The following is a 27,675-nucleotide window of genomic DNA, read 5'->3' on the forward strand; positions in this document are numbered from 1 at the left end:
ACTACGTTCTTTTCAAGATGGGCTCCCTGGCTTTTGGCAAACTGCCGAAAGCATCTTGCTAATGCTTGCAACTGCTACCTCGTTAACTTTTATAGCCAAGCTCTAGAGGATGTGAGCGTGTAAGGACAGAAACTGGGAGGTGAAGGGAAGGAACAATTAAAATTATTGCTTAAAAAAAAGAAAAAAAAAAGGATAGCTGGGTGCAGTGCTACATGCCTGTGATCCCAGTACTTTGGGAGGCCAAGGTGGGAGAATCATTTGAGCCCGGAAGTTCAAGGCTGTAGTGAACCATGATTGTGCCACTGCACTCCAACCTGGGCAACAGAGAGAGACTCTGTCTCTAAAAAAAAAAAAAAAAAAAAAGAAAGAAAAGATAGACCAGACCAGAACCTGTCATATTCAGCAATTGTGCTCAGTACCTATCTTTTTCTTAGTTCCTTGCTCACTGTTACAGAATATCCTCTATCTAACATAATATGTTGTGGATTTGACTCACACCCAGGAACTAGCAGTTGTTGGGAAAAAGTGATTATATATGTAGCAAAGAATACCTAACAAGAGGAGGATTTCCTCCCTGTCATTCAAATGATTATTACACATTTACCCTGTACCTGGCAGTAGGTTATATTACAAGATATAACCTAACTGCTGCCCTAACTGATTGGGGGAAGACAGACCAGCAGAGGCAATGATACCACATCGTGATGGGGGCTCCTAAAATTCAAGAGCGAGCTTAGGTGACCATAGGAAAAGCACCGCAAATGATGTCTCGGCTGAGCTCTGGAGTGTGTGTGTGTGTGTGTGTGTGTGTGTGTGTGTGTGTGTGTGTGCATTGGTTGGACCAAAAGTAAATTCCAGGCAGAGACAAGAGCTCACACAGGGTCTCAGCAGAGAGCAGGATCAGCATATGTTAAGGAGCACAGACTGCTCACAATGGCAGCATGTAAATGGGGGAGGCCCTGGCACTTCAGTTTCCCACCATGTGGCCACAAAAAACATGCCCATAAGGTTCTTAATAGAGACCTCCAAGACTGGGCCCTGCCTGTCTGCAGAGATGGTCCTTTAGCCTCAAAAGACCCCAGCAGCCTGTCCTGAGTTATTATGATATCCCTCTGTGTGTCATATCCACTCCTTTTGATCTTAACATTTCCCCTCCAAACCATGGGGCTACATTGAATGGTCCTATCAGAAATCACTGCTTGCTAAGAGGGATTCTGAAATCCCTCCAGAAATTAAAGGGTTAAGCATGTGAGCACTCAGGGTGGGAAATCATCACTTACAGATTTTAATTTCATCTATCAGACTCAAATTAAATAGTAAATAAGTTGTTTTCTATTCCACTGCCAAATTGTTCAGTTCCAGGAAGCCTTCCTTCTGGCCTGAAGCCAGGGTGGCCAACTATCTTGGTTTGCTCAGGACTGCCCTGATTTCAGCACTGAAAGTCCTGTGTCCCAGAAAACCCCTCAGTCCCTGGGAACCAGTGAGGGCTAGTCACCCTACCTGAACCCTGCCCTGCTGTTTACATCCCCTTCTCCCCCCATCTAGGCACAATGGAGGGGGAAAAGTTGGCGGCAGCTTTCCTTCAGTTTCTTTTTTCCTATCTTCTGAGAAAATCAACAAAGGTCTGTTGAGGTCCTGTGATCATATTTTCTCTCTCTTCTTAATTGTACCGCTCATTCTGGATGATTTTCTATATCCCTACAATGCTTTTTTTAACACACTCCTGACTCATGAATTCTTGGTCCCTTGCATAATTCCAGAACTATTTCCTCTTTGATCTTGTATTGTATGCCTTGGAAATTCACCGGAGCCATATATGCAGTTTTGGTCACACCTAGTTCGTTTAATATGAGCAGTTCTTCTGGATACTTCTCCAGGGGTTACTGGCAATGTTTTCACAGATGGTGGAGCAGGGCTTCTGAGGTCTGCTTGATTCACAGGGAGATCTCGCCGTACACCAACAGACACAGCTCTATTTCATGGCTCAGATTGTCCCCACTAAAACCAGAAATGCATGCTGCTTTAATGCAGTCTCAGGAATTTAAATGCCATGTGTAAACTGATGATTTTTATAGTTATATCTGCAGCCTGTACATCATCCCTTACCTCCAAATTCATATATCCAGTGCCCATTAAAATCTCCATGTGGATATCCAATAGGAGTCTTTAAAATACCCTAAACCAAATGTAACATGTCCCCAAACAAACCCCTGATCTCCATTTGCAAACTGCTTCTCTCCTAGGCTTTTCTACCTCAGTAAATGGCAAATACATATTCTTGTTGTTCAGGCCAAAAATTTTGGCCCATCAGCAAATCAACTGGCCGGCAAGTACTGCTGGCTTGACCTTCAAAATATATCAGTCTGATACCTTCTCCTCACATTCACGGTTACTACCCTTGTCCAAGTCAATCATTTCTCTCCTGGTTTATTGCAGGAGCATCCTAATTGACCTTCCGGTTTCCTATCTTTGCCCTCCTAGCTTATTCTCCATGTTGCAGCTACAGTAGAGTAATCCTCTAAAAATGTTAAGTCAGATCATGCCACCCATGCTCAAAGCTCTTGAGTAAGTTCTCATCTTAGAGTAAAAGCCAATGTCTTTACTGATGGGCTAAGAAGGCTTACACAATTCATTCCTCCTCTACCCCTTCTCTCCGACTTCATTTCCCACTTCTTTCCACCTTACACATTCTGCTCCAGCCATACTGGCCTCCTTGCTATTCCTCAGGCATTCAGCCTTTCATCTCAAGGCCTTTATGCTATTTCCTTTGCTCAACATGCATTTTCTCCAGGTGATTCCACGGTTTTCAATCTCACCCATGTGGGTTTTTGTTCAAATGTCATTTTCTCAGGAAGGCCTTCCCTAACCACCTTATCTTAAGTTGCAATCTCCACCATTTACCTAGCACTCTCTTTTTCTCTACCTTCCTGGTCTCCATATGACTATTATTTTTGTGATCAAGGTTGGGGCAAAGCCCAGTGTGGTGGCTCACACCTGTAATCCCAGCACTTTGGGAGGCCAAGGCGGGTGGATCACTTGAGGTCAGGAGTTTGAGACCAGCCTCACCAACGTGGTGAAACCTCGTCTCTAGTGAAAATACAAAAATTAACCAGGCGTGGTGGTGCGTACCTGTAATCCCAGCCACTCAGGAGGCTGAGGCAGGAGAATCCAGCCTGGGTAACAGAGTGAGACTCTGTCTCAAAAAAAAAAAAAAAAAAAAAAAAGATGGGAACTAATGAGCCAGAGCCTGGGAAACACTCATACCCAGCAGTGGCCCAGCATGCTATCAATGGAGGACATTTGTAATGGGCATTAATGGTCTATTCTACCTACTATCATATGCATATTCACTTTGGAGGGTGTTTTAAGGATTAGAAGTTTGAACTCTGCAGAGATGAAGCATCATGGGAAATAAAAGCCAAAAAACCAAACAATTCTACCACTGAGGGCATCAGAGGATATAATACCCCTTTTATACATCTTCATCATAGTCCTTGATCCAGCATTTAAAATCCATGATGAAATTTATTTTCAGGTGCTTTTTACAAGAATAAACTTCTTGTTTTCTGAATATGTCCAGCTCAGATCTGGACTCTCTTTTGTACATAATAATCACACAGCTCAAGCAATGATTTTGTTTTAAACAAAGATCCTAGTGGTTACTGCCACAACCTCAGCAGCGTTGCCACCATCGTTTGTTTGGATTTCCCTGTTACCACACAGGTAATAACATCCTCAAAGCAGTATGCAGTATCAGCAAAAAGGCCAAATCAATGGGGAATAAGAGGTTATTTTCAAGCTAAGAGGCTGTTATTTAGAATAAAAGGAAATTTTGCTTTGTTGAAAAGCGCTCCTTTCCAACCATTTCCTAAAGCAAAATTTTAAAAATTGATCATTTTCAGAATTCGAAAAGCTCATGAAAATACAACCACACCACATTTTCTGCTTTGATGACTCACTAAAGTCAAAGCTCTCTGAGACCTTTTTCCACTTCATCTCTTTCTCACCTATGCGCAGGGTGCCAGCAGAATCACCTTCCACTGACTCACGCAAGGTCACTTCACAGCATCTACATTTTGGAACTCAAAAGTCCTACTCCAGTTACAACCAGACAGCAAAACCATACAAATCACCATTTACTCTTTTCCCTAATGGATCTTACTTAGGAAGAATAATGGCCTACTCTGCATCATTGCATATTTTATATTTATATTCAGAGTTAGACAAGAAACAGCTACTATTATTCTTCTAGCCTGAAATATCATTTGTGAATGAGCTATTTGCTACAAATATCATTGTTGGGTCTCATCTACATTCCCTGAAAAAGTCCTGTGAATGCTCCATCTGTAAACCCTAGGCCAGGGTTTCTAACGTCGGCACTACTAACATCTTGGACCAGATAGCTCCTTGTTGTGAGGGACTGTCCTGTGCACTGTAAGATGTTTAGCAGCATCCTTGACCTCTACGAACGAGATGCTAATAGCAGCCCCTCAAAATACCTTGACATTATCAAATGTCAGATGCTAATAGCAGCCTAATCAAAAATACATTGGCATTACCAAACGTCCCCTGGAAACAAAATCACTCTTGGTTGAGAACCACTGCCCTGGGCTTACTCCTGGTCATCTGCAGACAGTTCTCCACCAGTGGATGGTGTTTCTCTAACGACACCTTTCAACTGTGTGTTGACAGGTGCGAATGTGCCAGCCTCACTAGAATCTAAGTTCTTCCTGGTCTCTGCCCAAGGGTGTTTCCTGGTCATGGGAGTGTGATGGCGCTGCACTAGGAGTAGGCTATAGTGCTCCCAACCCATGAGGGAATAGACTGAATGGGCAAATACTTAGCTGCTTCCTTGCCTTTCAGAGGAACTGCTGAGGTGTGCTCTTCAGAGTCTCTCAGAGGGTCCACAGCAAGAATGAGCTGGTTTCCACAATCCACTCAATTATGCACCCTTTGTTGGCTCTCCTTTCTACCCTGTCTCAATTTCTCCTTCCCTCACCTGCTTTAGTAAGATCACCTCCAACTAATGCACCGGCACTCAATTTCTGTCTCCTGTCTTGCTTTAGGGGGAACCTAAACTGAGACAGTGATCTTCCGAGTTTGGGACTGCACTTTAGGAGTCAGATATGGGTTTGACCCTGGCTCTCCAATTCACAGAGGGAAACCCTGGCATTTAATCACTTCTCTAAGTCTTTGTTATCTTGTATATAGAAAGAGCTGTAATAATGGGCATATTCTTGTGGGTTAAATAAGATCATGCATACAAAAATTTAATATGGCACTTGGCTATAGATGGTCAATAAACATTGGCTTTTATTATTGGTCTATAAATGATAAGATTTGTGTTACAGCTTCATCACTTCCTAACTCCCTGCTTTGAGGCAGGTGTGATATACATATGTAGAAGAGAATTCTGATATGATACACCATGCTCACCCCCCTATTTTTTCCCCACAAACCTTCCTCCTGGTGTCAATTTTGGCTTACACTACACTTCGTAGAAATCCAAAGAGGCTTTCTTTGGCATTAAACTACCTCAGCTTAGGACATACGGCTTCTAGCATCTCAGAATTTCTGCTGGGAATTATACCTCAGTTGGAGGACTTTCCTTTTAACCTAATAAAAAATAATTCATTCAATAAATGTTTATAAGCCCCCTCCTCATGGTAATGCCTGTTCTGTGTGTTGGGCCACAACCATGAACAAGACACACAGAGTGCCTGTCTTCATGGAGTTTAAAGTCTAGGGCCAATCTCACCAATTAGTTCTAAATAATTAATTCAGAATCCATAAAATGCTTAAGGGGTTTAACACTCCAGGGGGTGTTGCAGACTTGCTGCAACAATGGCTCATAAAAAAAGCCTGGAGAAAGGGATAGCCTGAACTGAGAACCACTGAAATACCCGAATTGACCTGGCAGATCCAGGAGAAAAGGATTACAAGTCTCAGGGTAGCCTCCTGGAGTGGATACATATATCACAGGAAGCCAGAAGACCCAGCAGAGAACTATGTTCCCTCGAGGGCCAGGTGGCACGCCGCTCATCGAGGCCATTGGGAATGCACTGGGGAAGGGCACTGGTGAGCAGGCACCTGTGTCACCAGGTTTGGTAGCAGACTAGAACTCACAATAGAAAAGGAGGTTATGCTTGGTGTTGTTGGCAATAGGGATGATGGGTGTTGAAAATCTCCCCCCTCAAGCAATAGAGGCTAGGCGGTGGTGCTTCCTCCCTCCTTTCCTTTTGCAGATGTAGGACCTCCACCTGAAGGCTTTCCTCACCCAATCCCAATTCCACCTCCTTTCATTTTTCACAGGCTTTATCCCCCCAAAACTGCTTTCACTGTTACCTCTGACTCTGATGCTGATCTGCTTCCTGGGGGGCCTAAGTGACACAATGAGCTTCTAGAAATGTTTTTCATACCTAATTCTAAGTTCTCTGTTCCACCACAGCAGCTGCTTTTCCTTTCCTCAGTGGTTAAAATAAGAGAGTTTCCCAAAGCTCATCAGATACCTGCAGCAAAAAGAAAAAAGTAGAATGCTGCAGTATATTTTCAGGGAAGATGCACAAAAGTAAAGACAACAAAGAATGGCAAAACTAATTGTTTTCAGTGTGAAAAAAGGTTTTAATCAACTTTTTTGGTCTCGCTCTGTTGCCCAGGCTGGAGTGCATTGGCTCAATCTTGGCTCACTGCAACCTCTGCCTCCCAGGTTCAATCGATTCTCCTGCCTCAGCCTCCTGAATAGCTGGGATTACAGGTGCCAACCACCACACCCAGCTAATTTTTGTATTTTTTAGTAGAGACAGAGTTTTGCTATGTTAGCCGGGCTGGTCTCGAGCTCCTGACCTCAAGTGATCCTCTGGCCCGGCCTCCCAAAGTACTGGGATTACAGGTGTGAGCCACTGTGGTATAATCAACTTATTTTCAAGGCCTCTGACTACTTCTTGTAGAATCTAAACCAATCTTCTCACACACCTACCTGATTCCACAGCCAACGAGAAGGTCGGAAAACAGGATGCAAGGCTGGGTGCCAAGGCAACACAGCACTGAGGGGAGGATAATACCTTATCATTTTTCTTTCTTTTCTTCTTTCCACCGCCTTGCTTTTTTTTCCTTTTTATGGCCAAGGTAAGTATGGGATGTGGGCCAAAACAAGTTTAATCTGAATTGTTCATTTTAGCTTAATTTAAAGTATTTTCTCATGAACACATCACACAAGCCTCTGTGGAAAGAGGACCCCAGGGCAGCTTGAGGCACTCATATGTGACTAATTAATGCACAAAGCAGGCAATTAATTCCCTTCATTAGAGTTTTTCCCATCACTGGGCTTAAAGTGATCTTCCTGTGAACTCCCACATACATTAACTGTTTGTCTAACGACACCTTTCAGCTGTGTATTGACGGGTGTGGATGTGCCAGCCTCACTAGAATCTAAGTTATTTGAGGGTAAAATCTATAGTTTATTCATCCTTGTAAACTCCATAGCACTTGTATAGTGCCTTGTACACAGTATACACCGAACACTTGAGAGCTTGCGAAAGCAGTGCTGGAACAGACAGTAAGTCTGCTGCAGACAGCAAGCTTATAAGGGGTGGTCAGTGGTACCAAATGGAGCAGAGCATTTAAAAGGAAAAAAAAAAAAAAAGATCACTGTAGTTGATGACCATGTTGTGCAGCAGAGTGGTAAAGCTATAAGCCAAATTCTCAGCCTCTAATGAATGAACAATGAGCCAGTAAGTGTAGATACCCTTTCAAGAAGTTTGGAGACATAAGGAAGGAGACATAGCATGACAGCTTGACTGATGGCAGGGTAAAGGATTTTTTGCTGTTAAAAAGTGTTGAATAAGGTCTTGAATAAGACTGTAGACTTAGAAGAAGAAATCAACAGAGATGCTATAAGACGGAAAGGGAATGCTTGAATGTGTAGAACAGGTGGGCAGGTATGGGCCAAGGTCACAAATGAAGAGCCTAAGCTTTGAAAGGAGGGAGGGGATACCTATTATTTGAAAGTAGGAAGGATGATGGAGAGAACATCTGCTTGTAGTTCTGAGGGCAGGGCTTCGAGCTAACGCAGAACAGAAAAGCTATGGAAGCAAAAATGAGAGTCAATTAAAGGAAGGACTATTGAGTTGAAGAGAACAGCCATAATTTTGTAGAAGAATCTAATCAGCCTAATATTATGACTTTATATATCTACACTTAGTAAGTCAGAACCAAAGAGAAAATGAATGGTGGTGTTATCAGTTTCCTAGGGCTGCAGTAACAAAGTACCAAAAATGGTGTGGCTTAAAATAACAGTTCTGAAGGCTAGAACTCAGAAATCAAGGTGTCTGCAGGGCCAAGCTTTCTCTGACGGCTCTAGGGGAGAAGCGTCCTTACCCCTTCTAACTTCTGGTGTTTGCTGGCAAGCCTTGGTGTTCCTGGGCCTGTACGGTCACATGCTCATCTTCCCTCTGTGAGTCTGTGTGTGCAAATTTCCCCTTTTAAAAAAACACCAAATTGGATCAGGCTGACCCTGATGATCTCACTCTATATTTGATTACCTCAGTACAAACTTATTTCCAACTAAGGTCAGATTCTAAGGGACTGGGGATTAGGGATACAACTTACCTTTTTTAGGGAACACAATTCTACCCATAATAGATGGGTGCAAGGATGTAGGTCGAAGGCTGGCAAGTGAGCCTAGATAAAGGGAGTGAGAGAAAATGAAGATGCTAATGAGAACATGGGGATGGCTGACCATGGGGCCCACACTGGAAGAGAAGCAGATTCTGGAGACCAAGAGTTTGGGTGATGGGGTAAAGGCTAAGGATTAGCAGGCAGGAAATTACAGAGCAAGTTGGTTCAGCAGCAGTCATGGTACGAGACGAGCCTGGGAGAGTGGGGACTTCAGGATCTAAGATCTCGGATTCGTGATGAGGCTGGAGGTTTGGCTGTGACTATGGCAGGTCAGCTGCAGAAGGTAATTTGTTACTGGGAGATGATCCAGTTGAGGTAACCTCCAGAGGCCAGGGCACCAAGAGCAGTTTCTCCATCCACATGGAAGAAATATGGAAGATGACATCAGGGAAAGGGACAAAGGACAACTGTATTGGGAAGAGCCAATTGTGAAGGAAGGCAGGAGAGTATCCTATAGCTCAGGAGATAAGGACATGGGGAAAGGGCAGAATATTTGGAGGGGAAAGACTCCAAGAGTCCTGAGAAATGGGGCACAAGTGTGGAAGGAATCCTGAGGAGGAGGGAACATGGAAATTCCTGTGGGACCACAGTACAGTGGCAGAAGTGGTCTCTTTTGGTGAAGAAGAGAAGTAAAGTACATTGGGGCTGGAGAGGGAGGAAAAATGAAGGCAAAACGATGAGCCAAAGCCTTAACCAGATACTTCATGTTGTGACAGTCATTAATTTACTGGGCAAAAGTTGCCCTTTTGTTTGTGTTGAATGTTCCTCTTAATGTAATGAGAGAGTGGCTGAAAAACTCCTGTTGTTGGTAAACCAAAATGTTGGAACTGACTTTTGGTCACGGCCCTCTACCTAAGTAAGATTCAGCAGCTTTGCTAGTCTAAAGGGCCCTGTGTTGGATCCTGACTACTGCGGTTCTATATGGAGGCCACAGGCAGGGAGAGGAGCAGCAGGAGAGCTGCTTTGTTTCATAAAATGGGGACACTGGTACCTCCCTCATAGGGCTGCTTGGGTTTTCAGCCTACAGTTAAGTCCTTAATAAATATTAGTGGTGGCAGTTATCATTATTACAATAAATCCCATAGTTTAATGGGGGAGGGTTTAAAGTACACTCCTCAAAATCATAGTAACAATAATGAGTCCCTCTCCCTCCTCCCTTTCCCCAAAGATAAAGAGTACACTAACATGATCCCGGAACATTTATTTCCAGAGGCTTTTGATAGAAGAGCACAATCTTGAATAAAATTACACCACTGTACTTAAGGGCAACACTACATAGTAAGCAAAATCTGCTCTGAACCCTTTCACAGAAGAGACACTTCAGAAAGGAATTTTACATCTCCTGACAGTTTTACAACATTCATACCTCTGATGCACTTCAAGCCCCAACCCATCTCTCATTTTCTAACTTCTTTAACAGAAATGTGTGTTCACAAGTTGTGTGTGCATGCACATGTGCCTCTGTGTGTACACAAAAGGCTCATTTTACCTACTTGATAAATGAGCTGAGACGATGTTTTGGGAAAAAAAAAATTGGAAAAAAAATGTTACCCCAACACGATGGAGAAGCCAATCCAAAAAAGCTTCATGCTAGAGCTAGCTTTCTCCTCAGAAACTTACATCCTAAAAACATCCCTATGGGTGCCTAAAAATGGAAATCCAGTGAGTTCATGGCCTTGAGTTCACTCCTGTCCTGAATTTCTCCCAGTGCAGGTCCAGAAGGGCGAGATGTGGCAGAAAGGAGAATGTGGGAATGTGTGAGTATCCCACAGCCAGCTCACAGTGCAGCTTGCACTCAGAAAGGAGACTCAGGGACACAAGGTCTCAGGATGCACAGTTCACCTTGGCCTCATGTACCTGGGCTGGGGAGAGGGAGACCATTCAAAAGCCTGTGCTTGGCCGGGTGTGGTGGCTCACGCCTATCATCCCAGCACTTTGGGAGGCTGAGGCGGGCAGATCACTTGAGGTCAGGAGGTTGAGACCAGCCTGACCAACATGGTGAAACCCCATCTCTACTAAAAATGCAAAAATTAGAAAGGTGTGGTGGTATGCACCTGTAATCCCACCTACTAAAGGAGGCCGAGGCAGGAGAATTGCTTGAACCTGGGAGTCGGAGGTTGCAGTGAGCCAAGATTGCGCCACTGCACTCCAGCCTGGGTGACAGAATGAGACTCTGTCTCAAAAAACAAAAACAACAAAAAACAAAAGCCTGTGCTTCAACCTGACTCTTCAGCCTTGGTTTCTCCCAGTACTGTCACTGGGTCTTAGGAACTTTAATGCTCATAACTAATCCCTGTGCCCCAGGAACTCCATTATGAGCCTCAAGAGTCCTCCTTAAGGTATTCAGCTGGTGACTTCAGTCTGACCACTAGCCACCTGCATAGTTCCATAGCCCTTCTTGGCATCTCGATGGGCAGTCATGGTGCCTTGCCATGTAGGGCACATAGCCTGCTTTAAGAAAAGAAGATGGGTAGAGGAAGCTGAGGCTGTTGTCCAGGCCACTGCTGAGTCCTGGCACGGGGTTGAGTGAAGTTCTTGTGAGACAGGTGGGGCCCTGGGGGACCCTATTAGGCAGATGCCTTTGCTGCTTTCTGAGCCTGGTACTCCTGCTTCGCTTGCTCCCTCTGTTGCTGTTCTCTCTGGATCAACTGTACAAGGTCTAGATGCCACTGCTGCAGATTCTGCTCATAGGTGGCGATGTCCTCTGCTTCACAGGTGGAGAGTTTTTCCTTGACAAGCTGGGTGGTCAGACTTAAAAGACCTTCTGACTCAATTTTGCCCAGAGCTTGAAGCTTAGAATGTAAGGCCTGTTGGAAACAAATGGGAAAAATGAGAAGAAAGGTAGAGAAGTGAGAGAAAGATACAAAGAGGAAAAACTAGCCCTGAGTGACTGACTTTAGATTTGAACAAAAGTTTGCTGACTCGTAGTTTAGTCCTCATTCTAGTGGCCCAGAATGAAGTCACCTGCAAAATAACCACACATTTTGCTGGTAGAAAAAAACCATTTTGTTGGGAAATGGTCATGCTGCCTTTCATTCAGGTGCTGTTAGCTGTGGTTATTTTTTTCAGCTCAGCAATTTTGCTAAGATGCACCACATGTGATTTCTCCCCTTTCACTCAAAAACAGTAAATGGAACTCCATATGCTGTGTCTCCCTGTGTAATTTCTTGTTTTAAACCACAAAGACAGCCAGCCTCTAACAAATCTATGTTTCCACCCTGACCTAACCAAACCAAGCAGCAAACACCAAAAATAAGAATTCTAATATGCAAACAAAATGGCAGAGGCATCTGATAACTGGAGCAAGCCCAACCATACATGTGCCTTCGGAATAACTGAAACAAGTATTTGCCTTTCTGGCATTCCTCTCAACAGACGGAAATCAGTTCAAGGAATAGCTCCCCTGAGTGCCTGCACCGTTAGAAGCGTCTGCCTGCTGTGCTCCACTGCATTGGGTCTTAGGAACTCTAAGACTGCAGGTCAGTCTTTATGTATTGCCTGCTTACAGCTCCATCTGAAATGGCACCTTGGTTTGGTTGGTGTTGTGCTCCTGGAGAAGTAAGTATTAAAAACATTAATCTATTTAAGTACTTTAAGATGTACTCTCTCATTAGAGAGAGGGCCACTTACGGGGCCAGCTGTAGCTTATACCACACATCCCCATGTTCCACAAACAAATGCCACTCATTGGCACAGGAAAGGAGGCTTGCTTAACAGGGTTGGGGGTGGGCAGGGTGCCTAGGCTCCAGGAGGGGCCAGAGGCCTAGTGTGAGAGTCAATCATATAAAAATGGCTCCCAAACAAATGACCTCTGACTAATAAAAATCAGGCAACAGGAAGAAAAGGAAATGTAAAACGAAAATGATCTCTCTCTGACAACGCTCTCCATGTGGGGTTTGAGGCCAACAAGACAGCTTGGGACACCAGAATGAGGACTAAACTACGAGTTGGCAAACTTTTGTTCAAACCTAAAGTCAGTCACTCTGGGCTAGTTTTTCTCAGCTTTGCTGTCATCTAACATGAGAAAGGTAGTCTCTAGCATCCAGAGCTCTTGCGAGGAGAAATGCACTGGTGCCCAACATGTAGTTAGTAGTCAATAAATACTTGCCTTTTTAAAATTTTCATAAAAATACATTTGTAGAGGAATGAGGGCTGAGAACTTAATGCAGGCACAGGTTTCTATTCTCTGAGGCAAAGTATATAAGAAACAAGAGAAGGAAGTTTTAATTTTTAAGAATGGTATGGCAACCTTGGTCAATGTGAATGCAATGAATCATAATATATGGGGCTAAGGAGATTTTTTTCTTTAGCCTTTGTAAATACACAAGATTAAGCAAAGAGCCTGAAGGGGCAGGCATGCAAATTCTCATCCCAGCTATACTGCCAATTCTCTGGGTACCTTGGGAATATCGATTAACCTTTCTTTCTCAGTTTCAAATTATAAGAGGGAAGTTGAGCAATGACTTTACAGAAGTACTGGGAGAAATTGCTGCTAAAAATACAACAGGCTCCTCCTTACAACACTGGGAATTAGGTTCTAATTACTGAAAATATTTAAACATAATAATCTAGCAAAGTTTACATCTTATCAGTACCAAAATGACACAAGTTACACAAAACAAGTGGGAAAGTTTTTTGCTGTACCAAGAATTCCCATTCTGACAGCATTTTTTCCCCCTTTGCACTAGACAAGAATCAAAGCAGCTAAGAAGCCAAGAGTTCAAACACTGAACACGGTTCTTTCCTGACACTGATCACAGAGCATTTTGGGATGTACAGAGTTAGAAGCTACCAAAGGTAGCTTGAGTGCTCAGGGCTGTTCTGGAAAGAAACAATGCAAACTGTTTACAGCTTCTATGCAGCACAAGAGAACAATACAAAGCTGCCAAAGATGAGCAAAGAAAGATGCCCACGTCTTATCTCTACACACTCAAATGTGGCATTATAGTGTCTAACTGGGTTTTTAGGTTATCAAGCACATTTAGTGCAAGATGGAGAAATGGCCAGATACTTTCCACCTGGGGTGGGAGTCAGGTTATTGCTATGAGGAGGCAAGCAATTATCCAGCTGACAGGTGCATATCAGGAATAAGTGGGTAATGACATGCCACCTTAGTGAACAAAACTGTGACCAATTAGCTCAAGTACAAAAAGGAGCATAAAAATTCCATTGGTTTCTTTTAAGACCACTTCCTGTGCAAAGCAATAAAAATGTAATTTTTGATGTCAGTTTTTAATGCCTCTTTGTGTGACATTGATGCAGAAAGAATGCTTATCCATCACCACAGGAGAGAAGTGTGTTTTATGCGCTGCTAAGAGAGACACGTTCTGCTATGATTCACCTTAAATCGTTCCAGGTATTGAGGAAGCTTGGACTGCTCTGTTTCCTCGATGTCTAACTGCTCCACCAGTTTTTCTGACCCCTGGTTGTCTTCATCATTTTGGGACTGCTCCTCTGAAGCCCCATCAGCTGAAGTCAGAGCCTTCAGCACTGCACCCAGCACATCGAGCTGTGGAGCAGAAAGAGGGTCAGCAACCAAATGTTTTATGGCCCAAAAGCACATGGTGAAGAAAGGCTAGAGAAGGCGAAAGAAAGGAAGAATGAGCTCTAAAAGACTGTGAAAACATTTCTCTTATAAAATTGTAGGAAATATAAATGGTTATATTTTTTCACATTATAAACACCCTATCAGATGGCGTGGAAAACAGTACAAGACAAATAGTAGAAATAAGCAAGCTAGCCTGGGTATGGTGGCTCATGCCTGTAATTTCAGCACTTTGGGAGGATGATGTGGAAGAATTGCTTGAGCCCAGGAGTTTGAGACCAGCCTGGGCAACACAGGGAGACTCCATCACTTAAAAAAAAAAAAAAGCCAAGCATGGTGGTGCACCCCTGTGGTCTCAGCTACTAAGGAGGCTGAGGCAGGAAGATTGCTTGAGCCTGGGAGGTGGAGGCTATAGTGAGCCATGATCACATCACTGCACTCCAGCCTGGGTGACATAGTGAGACCCTGTCTCAAAGACAAAACAACAAAATGCCAAATAAGCGAGCTACGAATTATTTGTATAAGTGAATCCGCACAATGGCAGCTAAGTTCGCTTTTAGTTAGCCAGACAGGAATCCAGGAATTATGCTTGATGGGCACTAAAGTACCTCCCACTTCCATGTCTTTCTTCCTCAATCAGTTTGGATTTGGGACAAAGGGATAGGCAATTACAGAACACAACCAACCAAAGGCCATTTTAAGTGTATGTTAAAGCCTCTGGATACAGGCAAGGGTCCCCCTCAGAAAGATTTTTAGCTCACATGGTATCTGTAAATTAAGGATCAGTGTAATCCACATAAGCTGCTGGCAAAGACCAGAGATGCAGACATGAAATTCATTTGAATGAGGTGATTTCTGTGACTTAGGAAGTAAATTTAAAAATAGAGCATTTTTGTTTTGACCCCTCTCCCCTCTACTTTCACTTTGAGGTATATCTCCCTTGACCCACAGAGGGCCTAATCATCAGAAATGGGATATTAACAACAGCAAGGCCAGTAGAAACACCTACCTGAAACGAATTAATCCTGTCTATGTCATATCAGAACAGAAATCCTAAAAATATGCCAAGGCCTTTTAATACCACTAATACATCACATCCAAACTGGACACATAGCACATTCTTGCTGACATGTGAACTCATTTTCTACTGTTAGAATGCAAAGAATGCAAATCTGGCTGAGATTGGAAGGAATATTTCCCTGGCAAAGGATTTATGTATAATTTTGTGTTTTCAATTACCAGTACTGACTACAGCAGGGTTAAAACAAGTATAGTGAGAAATGTATATCCTTTGTTATAAACGTCTGGCAAAGAGCATAATGATTCACTAGACATAAGTATAAGGTGACAGGACAGACACCAGACCTGACCACCTCAGGACTGAAATGAAAGCCAAGGGATGACTCTAGCAACCAGAGTCAAGAAAAAACAAATATGTGGCTCTACGGTGACCTTTAAGCCATGGTAACAAGACAACCAATGTCCTTCTCAGGACTCACACTGGCTGTAAAAGCTGTTTGGACAGGAGCAGACACTGCAGCTGCCTGTGGGGTGTAAGGCGCATCATGTCTCCTGGAGTTCGAGCAACCTCATACCATCAAGGGTCCTAGGTGACCAAGAGGCATGAGCTTTGGGGCTGGTGGGAGAGTAGTGTTCTCGTCCTGGTAAAGTGAACACCTTAGAACTTTGAAAGAAACATCTGACCGAGATCTCATCAGCATCACACATTCACACAGAATGGTTTAAGATGGTTCCATCTCTGGTCCCCAGATTCATTTCTTGAGGACTTTTATGGGGAAAGATGCTATGTAGCCTCTCAGGACTACATGGTATTACAAAAACACCAAACATATTTAAAATGAAATTTTACCCTCTCTTGAGTTCCCACTGAGATTTTTTTTTTTTTGGTAAGGAGGTGAGGGACGAGGCAGTGGAATAGTTTTTTTTTCCTAGACAATGAACTATAAATCAATGTTAATCATATTTTCTAGTGCCTTTGGTCAGGAGCATTGAAAATGTTTGTGGTTTTGCATTTTTTCGACTTGATAAATACCTATTCTATAGACATATAGAAAGTAGGGGTAGTGGAAAGACAATGAAAACAAATTTAAAGCTCAGGTTATGGGAAACAGATGGCTAAATCTCACTGCCTTAGAGCTGAAGAACATACCGCTTCTCTACACAGCTTTATGTCTTCTGGGGAGGCAGCCACTTTCTCCATCACTTGAAGGGCTCTGTCAAGGTAGCCTGGTTTCCATATCAGAGGCATGTTGTGGTACACAGCCCGTAGCCCTTGCTGCAACTCCACCTTCCCTGTGGCCAAAAAGAACAATAAAGAATGCTCAGCCATGTCTTCCCACCATTTCTAAGACTGAGGACCTGAAGGCCCAAGTGAATGTTCACCTGGCAGCACTAGAAATAGAGAAGGATCATTTTAAATCTGTACCAACAGACTCATCTCATTCGGTGACACTTCAGATGGATAATGACGAATGTGGTAAAATTCACTGTATCCATTTTGTAATGCAAAATTACATGAACTTAGTTTTCTTCTTTCTCATTTGGGCTGAGGATGTATATATAAACCACTGGGCTGAGGGCAATTGAGAGGCTGACATATATGGCTCTAGGTAAGGATACTCTTAAAAAACAAGTCAACTGAGATACAATTTTTGTTTCAAGAACAAAATCTTCCCCAGAAAAAGAAATCTCACAGCTTTCCCACTGTGAAAATTTTGTCAACATCCGACAACTTTCCCTGCTAGGAAATGTCTGTCATTTTTTGAAATCCTTCAAAACACCCAATCCTTATGAAAAAAAAAAACCCCTCATCTTTCCCTTCTTTCCTTTGAGTTTCGTCAGTTTTAAAATAACAGAGTTCTCATGATCTTTTTGGATCTCTGGACATGAATGTTTCTCTGGGTACCTCAAGCCATCACACCTGGAGTTCAAGATGTGGATGCTAGACAGCAGGGTCTTCTGGTAGGGAGATGGCTGTCTGTATTCCTGTGGCACAGAACCTGGCTGCACTAATGACCAAAGTCACCTTGAGCTGCCCAGTCTTAAATCCACCTTCTTTTATCTTTCCTGGGAAGGAGGATTTGGGAAAGCCAGAGTAGGACACAAACAGACAAAGCTTATCAGGCGACAGCTAATTTTAGACCTTTAAGGTGCTTGGGGCTGGACTGCAGTTACATTCTGGGCAGCTGCTTCCATCAGGGCTGAGTGAGGCTGCACGGCAAATGACACAATGAGAGCAAAGAGCTTCTGATCTGATGGCTGCTATCACAAAGAACCAGGGCCTCTGCTCACAAACCACAACAAAGTACATATTCTTTGCCCTGTCACTTCTGACCAATTCAGGCTGTATGACAGTCCTGAATGCTGATCTGAAAGCAAAGGAAAATACATGTAAATCAATATCAAAAGTAGGTGGCAAATAAGGAAAAAATTATTTTTAAAAAGAGTGGTCAACTCCTTTGTTAGTCTGATAGACAGTCAATAAACTCTGAAGTTCCTGAGTTATTATATCAGAATCAGCACCAAGAATAACACACTACATTCTGTTGGCAAAGATCAACTTCAAAAGCAGTCAAACTGCTATAACTTTATGATTTTTAAAAAACAAAGGTAAGCAGAAGCAATGTATAATTGAGAGATGCCTAACTACTTAAGAGACGATGGGAGAGTAATGAAATAACATAAATTTAATAAACGTCTGTAAATCGGGACGTTACATTTAGGTTGAATCTTATTTACCCAGATTCCACACAACCCAGGTTCCGAGGCCACTCTTCAGAAGGCTTTGTCCTCTTAACCTGTCTGATTTTCAATGCAATCAGGGCACAAGAGGAAAGCCACCACTGCACCTCCTGGTGCAATCACATGGTACCCATGAACCACTCCACTTTTCCTGAAGTGCTACTACTTCTGCTCTTAGTTTATCTTCCCTTACCTGAAAACAATACCAAAGATACAAGTTCAACTCTAACTCTTAATTTCTTACCTTCTGGACTTTAGATCTAAAGAGACAGAAAGATCTTTGTTAATACTGGAAAAGATTCTACTAGCTAGTCTCCCTAAACAGGGCCAGAACATCCCTTTCTTTATCCCTTCTTCAGACTGATTACCACTGAATATTATTACCTATATCCACCAGAACTAGTTCTTGCTTTGCCAGTGATGGCAGGTTTTAAGAACCCTCTTTACTCTCTTATGGAGTAACTGTAAGGCCATCAAGGTCTATTTTTATGTCTAAAAACGAAGGCTAATTGGATTTCACTGGTAAATTTAAATCAAATTACAATTTTATTATGAACTGGAAGAATGCAACAATTCTAACCATGAAGAACAGTATTTGTAAGGATCATTTAGCTTACCAAGAAGTGCATAGCCATACAACTGGGAACTGAAACCCACTGAGTTCTTTTGTTTTAGGCCTGGAAGCAAAAGGGATGCACCAAAGTTCCTCTCCTCTTCCCACTGCAACAGAATATACTGGATCATGATCCATCTAAGCAATGAGTACTTTATACAAAAATGTGACTTTCAATGACATGAGGAAAAGAACATGTTATAGCATTAAGTAAACAAAGAAGAACAAAGCTATATATACATTATAATCCTAATTTTGGGATTAAAAGGTACTTACGTCAAAGAAAAATATAGGAAAGAAATACCCTATATGTTAATGGATTTTTGGGCAGTGAAATTATGAGTAATTTTGGTTTTATTCCCTGTATATCTTATTATTTTCCAAAAATTTGGCAATGAATAAGCGTTTCTTTTACAATCAGAAAAGCAAAACAAAACACAAATAAAGAGTACACTTTAAACCGACACTCGAGACAATCAAGATTCAACATGCTGTCAGCCCCACAGTCACTCATACTGCTGTGGCCTGATGGAACAAGCTTTTGAATTTTAAAGAATTTAGCAATGATAAGACTCCTTCAGAGTGTTAGAATAAATACCACTATTAAATTGCTTTTAGATAGATTTGTGCTTCTCAAAAACAAATTAGGCAGTCAGAAACAGTGATCGCTTCTTTCAGCCCAGGGTGCAAAATTACGCTTTAATGAAAATGAAGTCTTTAGAGACATGGGGGAAACAAAGGGCAAAAACACAAGCATTGCTACACCTGCTGCAGACTAGTAACAACGATGACTGGAGGACTTCCTGGCAATGCGGCCAGGGGAGAGCCTTGGCAACTCCCCAGTGGGATCTGTGATCTTCTTGGTGCCACATGAGTACACAGTGGACAGAGCTGGAGCCCTAACTCTGGCTTCAAAACATAGAACACTAAGCTCAGGTTGCCCTGCACTGGTCTCTGCACCAAGAGATTAGGGAGGAAGCAGAGAATGAATAATGTCTGCAGGCTGCAGTTACAACCACGGGCAAGTGAGGCACCCCAGATGTTCATAGGCACCCAAACCTCTTTACTGTAAGTAGGCTTTGTGCAATACAAGTGTCATTTCTTGAGGCTGCTCCCCAGTCTTTGAGAAAAGCAAAGACCTCAGAAGAAAAACAACGCCCCCCCCCAAGCACTTCTGCAGCACAGGTAAATAAAAGAGCTGGTAATTAAAAACCAGGTCATTTTACTTTCAAAACTAAGAAGTTTGATTTTCCCCACCTAAAACTGCATGAAAAGTAGGGCCGACAAATAATAAATAAGGAGCCTTACAAACATTTTTCCCCCTGTAGGGAAAAACATGAGCTACAGTAACAGGCTGTAGTAGGGGTTAAAGCCAAATGAACACTAAAATATCTAAGCACTAGATACCTTTGATGTGTTAGGAGTCGAGCAGGGGTGGTGACAGTGACTGGGATGGTTATACTTCTAAAGGACTTCAAAAAAGATGAATGAAAACAAACCAATGACTGTCTTAGAAATTTTCTGATCATTGTCTGGGGCTGCTGGAACTACTGCTGCTTATATGAAGCTATTCATGTGTCAACATAAATTAACAGATATCTTCCAAGCCTTTAGTTTCTTTTCTTTTCTTTTTTTCTCTTTGGAGACAGGGTCTTGCCCTATTGCCCAGGCTGGAATGCAGTGGTGTGATCACAGCTCACTGTAACCTCAAACTTATGGGATCAAGGGATCCTCCCAACTCAGCCTCCTGAGTAGCTAGGACTATAGGCATGTGCCACCATGCCTGGTTAATATTTTTTTTATTTTCAATTTTTGTAGAGATGAGGTCTTGCTATGTTGCCTAGCCTGGTCTCAAACTCCTGGCCTTAAGCAATCCTCTTGCCTTGGCCTCTCAAAGTACTAAGATTACAGGCATGAGCCACTGCTCCTGGCCCAAGCCTTTAATTTCTATTGTAGACACTATAATGGACTAATTCAGGTGTGGTTTCATCAATGCCTTCAAAGTTTTTCCATTTTATGCTTTGCCTCTTCCATTAATACAAAGCAAATCCTCATTCTCCCAACTTCCCCGCTTTATTCTCCACTTCATAGCTAGGCATCTTAAAAGAGTTGTCTATACCTCTAATCATTCTACAATCCATTCCAATTTGGTTTCCTGCTCCATTACTCATATGGAAACAAAGGTTACGATTTAGTGCCTCCCGTGCCACTAATGCATTTAATTGACTTTTTTTATTCCTCATCTTACCCTACCCCTTTGGAAGCATTCTACATAGCAGACCATCTCTTCCTGTGGATTCTGTGGTCCAACACATTCCTGATTTCCCTTCTTTTTGCTTTCTAGCTCATTTGCAAACATTTACACATGGAAGTATAAGTCTCCACAATTGTATCTCCAGTCCAGATCTTTCCATTAAGCCCCCAGTTCCTTGGTGAAATCTCGTGACTGTCTCAATTTCAAAATGCAACATGTTCAGAGTCACATTAATGATTTTTCTCATAACATCCAGTCTTTTCCCAAAGTTCCCTTTTGGAAACAACACATGGAACACCTTGCATCCAGACATATGAGTCAGAAACTGAGGAGAGAATATGTGACCCCTGCTTCCCTGCCTCATCTTGTTATTTACCTTCCAAATATGCCCATTGGCTACTCTCTAACTGCATCATATCCTGGTCTCTATGCTACCATTATCCCTTGCTGAGATTCATGGTAGTCTCTCGGATGGTCTGACCATAGCCATCCTTGCCCTGCTCTGATAGCTTATCCACAGTACAGCCAGAAGGACCTTATCAAAACACAGATTTGATTATTATATGCCCTCTGCTTCTAACTTTTCAAGGGCTTCTCACTGTTTTTAGAACGAACACAAAATGGCTTAGTATGGCCTACATTCTCCAACCCTCTCACCCCACGTCCTCCCTACCATTTTCTGTTGTAACTACACTGACTATCTTCTTCCAGCCCATTTCTGCTCACTAAGTTTTCTGCCACAGGGTATTTGGACATGTAATTTCCTCTTTTTGGACTGTTCTTCCCCTCCTTAGCCAGTTAATTACCAGTCATCCTTCAATAGTAACCTAAGAAATATTTCCTTAAGGAAGCCCTTCCTAACCAATTTAAGTTTAAAATACAGAGAAAACTCCCTATAATATAGTCTTTTCTTAGATTTCTCCTTTGCAGTGTTCATGATAGTCATAGTTTTATATCTCTGTGATTGTTTTGTTTAAACTCTGTGTTCTTCCTAAATTGTAAGCAGAAAATGTTTGCTCACCAGTACATAACTAGCACTTGCCAATGTATGGAATTTGTATGTGTTCAATACAGTATATTTAATGAATTAATAATGAATGTGGGGTATATCATAAGACTATGACACTCATCTTAGAAAGGCATAACATGCCATCTACTCTTTAGAATGTGGTCTGGACTAAATGACCTCTTCAGTTCCTACCCAAACTGGGATTTTTGATGTTTACAATTGAGGTTAAGGGCAGATGGCAGAGGCAGACTAACTGGCTTTACCAGGTGGCTTCGTTACCTACTAGCTGGGGGGTTACTCTGTAACATCTCTAGGCCCCAGTCTCCTTATCTGCCTAGGGTTGTTGTGAGAATTAAATGCATTAATACATTTAAAACAAGAACACAGCCTGGTGTAAAGTAAGTGCTACTTAAAATATCAGTTATTGCTATTGCTATTCTTAGGACAACAATAAGCAATGATTAAACATGCGAACCTAAGATCTGAAACCAAAACTTGATATTCTAGACTTTCCAAAACGGAACTGCCCTAGAGAAACCTTAGGAAAATACTGATACAAATGAAATAATTAGTATTTAATATCCCAGGTAATGGTCAACGTTAGCTGCCTCACTGCCTCTTTGACATGCCATGTCCAGCTCTCAGTGACTACCAATGACCCATTTCTGAATGTCTGAGGTGCACTCAGCCTAGCTCAAGTTTCAAAATATGCACGAGGACTTTCTTTTGAGATTCTCTCAAGTGGAAGAACCTCCAATTCCATTTGTTAGAAACCAGTAACCAAAATGTATACAATAAACACACATTCCTGGTTGTGCCTGGCCACAGAGCTGCAGACACCTTTTTCCAGCTTTTGAGAGCAAGCCCCTGCTTGCCTTTTCTAAAGTTCTTAATACTGCTTTAGGGAAGATCACTTACACTGAAGTCTGTCTTCTTTGCCAGGCAATGAAATAAAACATAGAGGGAGAGAAGTTGGGTGGAAGGCACTTCAAAGGCTTCTTGCATCATGACCTCAAAAACCACAGATAAAGCATCTAGCAGAAGATGAAAGTAAAAAAGAGAGGAAATTAGTTGTAGGTAATATTACTAAATCTCTATTTAACTATAAACACTCTTAAAACGTGGGGCATGGTTTAAAAAAATGCAGAATTAAGAAGTAAAATATGCGGGCTTAGGCTCTGGCCCTAGTTCTTCCACAAACAAGGTTTTTCCTCAGCCTTTAGCTTCTATTTTACATACCAGAACGAACTAAATCAGGTGCTACTGCACCAACGTCCTGAAGGACATTAAATAAACCACTCATTTCTCTTGGCTCCCAGTATCATCGTCATAATGATAAAATACTATTTGCTTCACCTACTTCAAGAGAATTTTGGACAGTTCAACCAGAAAATGGCTCAAACTGTGATGCAAATTTAAGGCATCATGTCTACCAGCTAGAACAGCTAAGGCATAAAGGAGACACATATATTCTCAAGGTCACCCTGACAGGCAGAGCAGACAGGCTGGTCTGACTGCCCTATTCTCTGCTCTGGTACCTTCTCACTGTTAAGGCAGAAGAGGACAAAATGCTAAAGGAAACCCTAAATCTCAGGTGTTATTTCAAAGACAGCAAAATAATGACTATAAAAAGGACAATAAGGCTCAGTTTAAAATACTTGTTGGAAGGGAATGGGAAATGCTCGTTCATAAATTATAAGCCCCTGAGTATAACACGTAACATAAAATATTTGTTTGCACATTAATGCTGGTCATTAAAGCCTGGAGAGCAGGCTTTAAGCAATTTTTATTTTCCCTTGATATTCTACAACATAGATGGAGGCCAAGAAAATCAAGTCAAACAATTTCCTTTCTGTAGTTACTTGGTGGTAAAGCAGAGAATATTAACAATGGCTTAAAATATAGTGCCTGTTCATATCACAAGCACAACAAATGTTTTTTACTTACTGAATTATTTTTTTAACCAATTTTTACATATATTCATAACTATAAAATAGCACTGATTTGCAGCTGTTCCTACCCAGCTGGTTTTGCACATGTCATGGTTCTGAATGAGGCCACACGCATGGATTTCTATGTTCTTTTTGCAAATGGGGAAACTGAGATAGGCAGACCAGGTAGTCATCTAATAAGTCAGTAGAAAAATAAGAACCTGGAAGGGATTTTCTTTTACACAAACAAACAAGCCAGTAATATTTTAAAAGAGCATAGGCTAAAAATTCAGTTGAAAAAAAAAATCTCATTTCTGCCAACTGTTCATTACTGAATCCAAAATTATACTTGAAAAATAAATTTACTTTATCCTTTATTTATATTCTGCATTTCAGTCAGTTTGGGAAGTGAAATTAGATTGGCCTGTATAATTAACTTACTTTTCCTCCATAATCATTTATGTACTTTGATATTTTCTATCTTAAAATAAAAATAATGTTTTTAAAAATTTTGCATAAAAGATAATCATCAAAACTTTTCTGACTAAACGAGTAATGAAGAGATGTTATTAAGAAATAAAAAAGGGGAAGTTCCTACATTTGTACACCTCCCTTTGGGAGCTGGAAGCCCTATAAACACTGAATCTGGGGTTAGTTTCTTACCTTTGTAATTTTCTTTCTTTATGAAAGAATCCATCAGTAAATTGAATGTAAAGTTATCTGGAAAAATTCCATATTGAACCTATAATGAAAATGAACATAACAGGAAAAAAAGAGAAAATTATCTAATTTAGTCTGTAATATATGCCTATGTATTATTCAGAATAAAACTTGCCACCATTAGCTTTAAAATATTTGACTATCATTTTACAGCATCTGTGACAGTGAAACAGAAGCCATGACTCATGAGGTTTGGTAACAGGAACTGTTGGTCAGGGTGAGAAAGTTGTGAGTCTGATATAAGACAACTGATAATGTAAAAACTAAGGCTCCAATTCTAACACCTCATCATAGCTTAAAAAAAACATAAAAGAAAAAAGAAAAAAAGAAACCCACACAACCCCCCTAACTGGTTCAGTGACTCTTCTTATAAAGTATGAATAACAATACAAAAACAGACTCTCATGAGAAAGCAGACATTACACAGCATTTTCTGGTTCTTAGCCTGGCTTTTAAGGTCCCAAGAAATATGCCAAGAAATATTTGCTACTAAGTTTCTAGAATGTTGTGTCATACAACTGAATACTTGAGAATTCAGATTTCTTAAAATGTGGACCCTTTAGCACCTGCAGGATGTCGACTTTCTCAGAGTGTTTTTAACAATATAGATTCCTACGTCTCAGACCTATAGAACCAGAATCTGTGGGAATTGGGCACAAAACCCTGAATTTTTAGTGAGCTTCTTGTGATTTTCATGCATACTCATTTTACTACCAATGATCCTGATTGTGGCTGCATTTTTATTTGTTTCAAATTCTTCAGTAATGTTAACCACCATTCCCCACAGGGCTCCATTCTTCCCTCTTGGAACCAGTAGAAACACCTGAGGAATTTTTCCAAACTATATCCATATCCCCTTGAGAGATTTTGATACAGTCCTAACCCCCAACTGAATCACCACTGAGCTGACTCACTGTTTCCAGGTGTTATATATAGTAGCCTCAGGTGTGCCGAAATGGAAAAATGTCTAAAAACCACTGTTTTAAAGGTTGTAGCTCATGGCCAGTGTCTATATTTCTCAAAGCAGTCATCCAAATCAGTATTAATCCCTAGGGCAGGCTAAAAACCAAAATATTTTAGGATGACAAATCATTAAAGCTGAAAGGGATTTTAGAAATCAACTGGTCAGTGATTCTCAACCCAGGCTGCAAATGAGAATCAACTGAGAGCTTTAAAAAACAAACAAACAAACAAGCAAACCCAATGAGGGATGAATAGGCAGGGATGAGGGATGATACTACAATGGTGGATACATGTCATTATACATTTGTCCAAACCCATAGGACGTACAACATCAAGAGTGAACCCTAATGTAAACTAGGACCTTTGGGTGACAACGGTTTGTCAACGTAAGTTCATCAATTGTAATAAATGTACCACACTGGGGCAGGATGTTGATTATGAGGAAGGCTATGCATGTGTTGGGGCAGGGAGTACATAGAAAATCTATGTACTTTCCACTCAGTTTTGCTGTTGAAGGAAACAAAAATATTTCTCCCCAAAATAATTGAGGATGTTAAGTTAAAGATACTGAAAATGCAGGGGAAGACTCTGCCATAGCCTCCAATTGCCTGATGGCAGCACATAAATCCTTCCTTCCTAGAACAGCACTTGCTTCTGAGCCCAGAGAAGGCATCAGCAGGCACCAGAGGAATCTGAGAACAGATTTTACTATCTTCCCACATTTTCCCACCTTTTAAAGACTGGAACTTTTCCTTCGTCTTGTCACTGTATAGGATTTATGGCCCTTGGTTGAAATACTATTCAGTAAGGCCATAAGCCACTGCCTTGAGATAGAAATGCTTTTGAACTGAGGCCTTTCCTGTGTGATGAGTACAGCATGTGTTAATAAACTTCTGCTTGTTTTTCTTTTGTTAATCTGACTTTTGTTTTCAGCAGAGTGTCTCAACTAAGAACCTAAAAGGGAAAGAAACTAAATTATGTTTTCTCCCCTATACTGTGAACCCGAAACTGACAGAAAAATTTAAACTTATTAAAAAATTTTTTTAAATTCCAATGCCTGGGCCCTAGACAGATCAATTAAACTAGAATTTCAGGAGTAGAGGCAAACATCTACAATTTTTAAAAAGCTTCTTGGGTGACCCTAATGGGCAGCCAGAGTTGGAAATCACTGATTTACTACAACCCACTTGACTTAGAGTTGAAAAAACTAAGAGCTAGAAGAATACAGTTATTTGCCTAAAGTTACCAGCAACCAGGGGAGCCTGTGGGGCTACAGCCTGGATCTTCTGATTTCTAGTTTGATGTTCTTTCCACTAAAAGACTCAAGAAGCAGCAAAAATTCTAGACCCTCCTAGTTTTGCTATCATAGGAATCTTTGAGTGTAATCTGTGACATTACACTCTGAACTGAAGAAAACAAGATTTAATCCATTCCTTCCTCTGGGCCTTCCATTTCCTCCTCTTGAGATTCAAGGCTGTCATCTTGATTGGACTTATCCAGGGACCTAGCTCAATCTTTTACTCGCTTCCTTACCTGGTTCCTCCCTTAACATACCTTATACCCCAGGAAAAAGGCAATGTATTACTGTTCAGACTGAGTCTTTGTTTTCACCCAGATATACCTCTGGTAATACTGTTTCTGCCAGCCCATCTCCACGTGCAAGCATGCATCTTTTGGTGACCATCTTAAATGGTACCTCATGTCTCTTTTAATTATTTCCTTCCAATCAGATTCCCTCATCTTAATTCTCCAAGTTGTTTTTACTGTTTTTCTTTTCTTTTTTCCTTTTTTTTTTTTTTGAGACCAGGTCTCATTCTGTTGCCTAGGCTGTAGTGCAGTGGCATCATCACAGCTCATTGCAGTCTCCACCTCCTAGGCTCAGGTGATCCTCCTACTTGAGCCTCTAGAGTAGCTGGGACTACAGGTCTCGAACTCCTGGGCTCATGTGATTCTCCTGTCTTGGCATCCCAAAATGCTAGGATTACAGGCATGTGCCACGGTGCCTGGCCTTTACAAATATTCTTGTGTGGCACCTACATTTGCCTAATATTAGATTTATAAGTAATCCTGCTTATCTGCCTTATTAAACTGTAAACTTCCTGAGGGCAAGAACAGAATATTGCTCATTTTTGTATCCACTATCAATAACCAATCCAATGTCTCACAAACAAACTGTATATAATATATATTAAGTTGAACTGG

The 27,675-nt window shown here is 41.5% G+C and overlaps 1 protein-coding gene across 3 annotated transcripts in view, besides 1 other annotated feature; it reads right to left on the minus strand.

The window, feature by feature from the left end:
• Window positions 1-9,737: 9,737 nt before the first annotated feature.
• Window positions 9,738-27,675, minus strand: part of MRPS27 (mitochondrial ribosomal protein S27) — a 100,838-nt gene continuing 82,900 nt past the window's right edge. For all 3 annotated transcript variants that reach the window (NM_001286751.2, NM_015084.3, NM_001286748.2), the window contains 6 exons: window positions 24,454-24,532; window positions 22,778-22,893; window positions 18,601-18,703; window positions 16,392-16,534; window positions 14,018-14,185; window positions 9,738-11,483 (listed from right to left, as the gene is read on the minus strand). In NM_001286751.2, the coding sequence (NP_001273680.1) occupies window positions 11,244-11,483; window positions 14,018-14,185; window positions 16,392-16,534; window positions 18,601-18,703; window positions 22,778-22,893; window positions 24,454-24,532 (849 nt within the window). In that variant the 3' untranslated portion in view covers window positions 9,738-11,243. The remainder of the gene's footprint in view (window positions 11,484-14,017; window positions 14,186-16,391; window positions 16,535-18,600; window positions 18,704-22,777; window positions 22,894-24,453; window positions 24,533-27,675) is intronic.
• Window positions 24,597-24,891: an enhancer, noted in NCBI's record as "tiled region #4397; K562 Activating DNase matched - State 5:Enh". NCBI's record gives its function as "activates a minimal TATA promoter and a strong SV40 promoter by Sharpr-MPRA in K562 cells {active_cell/tissue: K562}" and the evidence as "EXISTENCE:reporter gene assay evidence [ECO:0000049][PMID:27701403]".

The sequence above is a fragment of the Homo sapiens genome, chromosome 5 (assembly GCF_000001405.40).
Source record: "Homo sapiens chromosome 5, GRCh38.p14 Primary Assembly".
In the NCBI taxonomy this organism is placed as follows: Eukaryota; Metazoa; Chordata; class Mammalia; order Primates; family Hominidae; genus Homo; species Homo sapiens.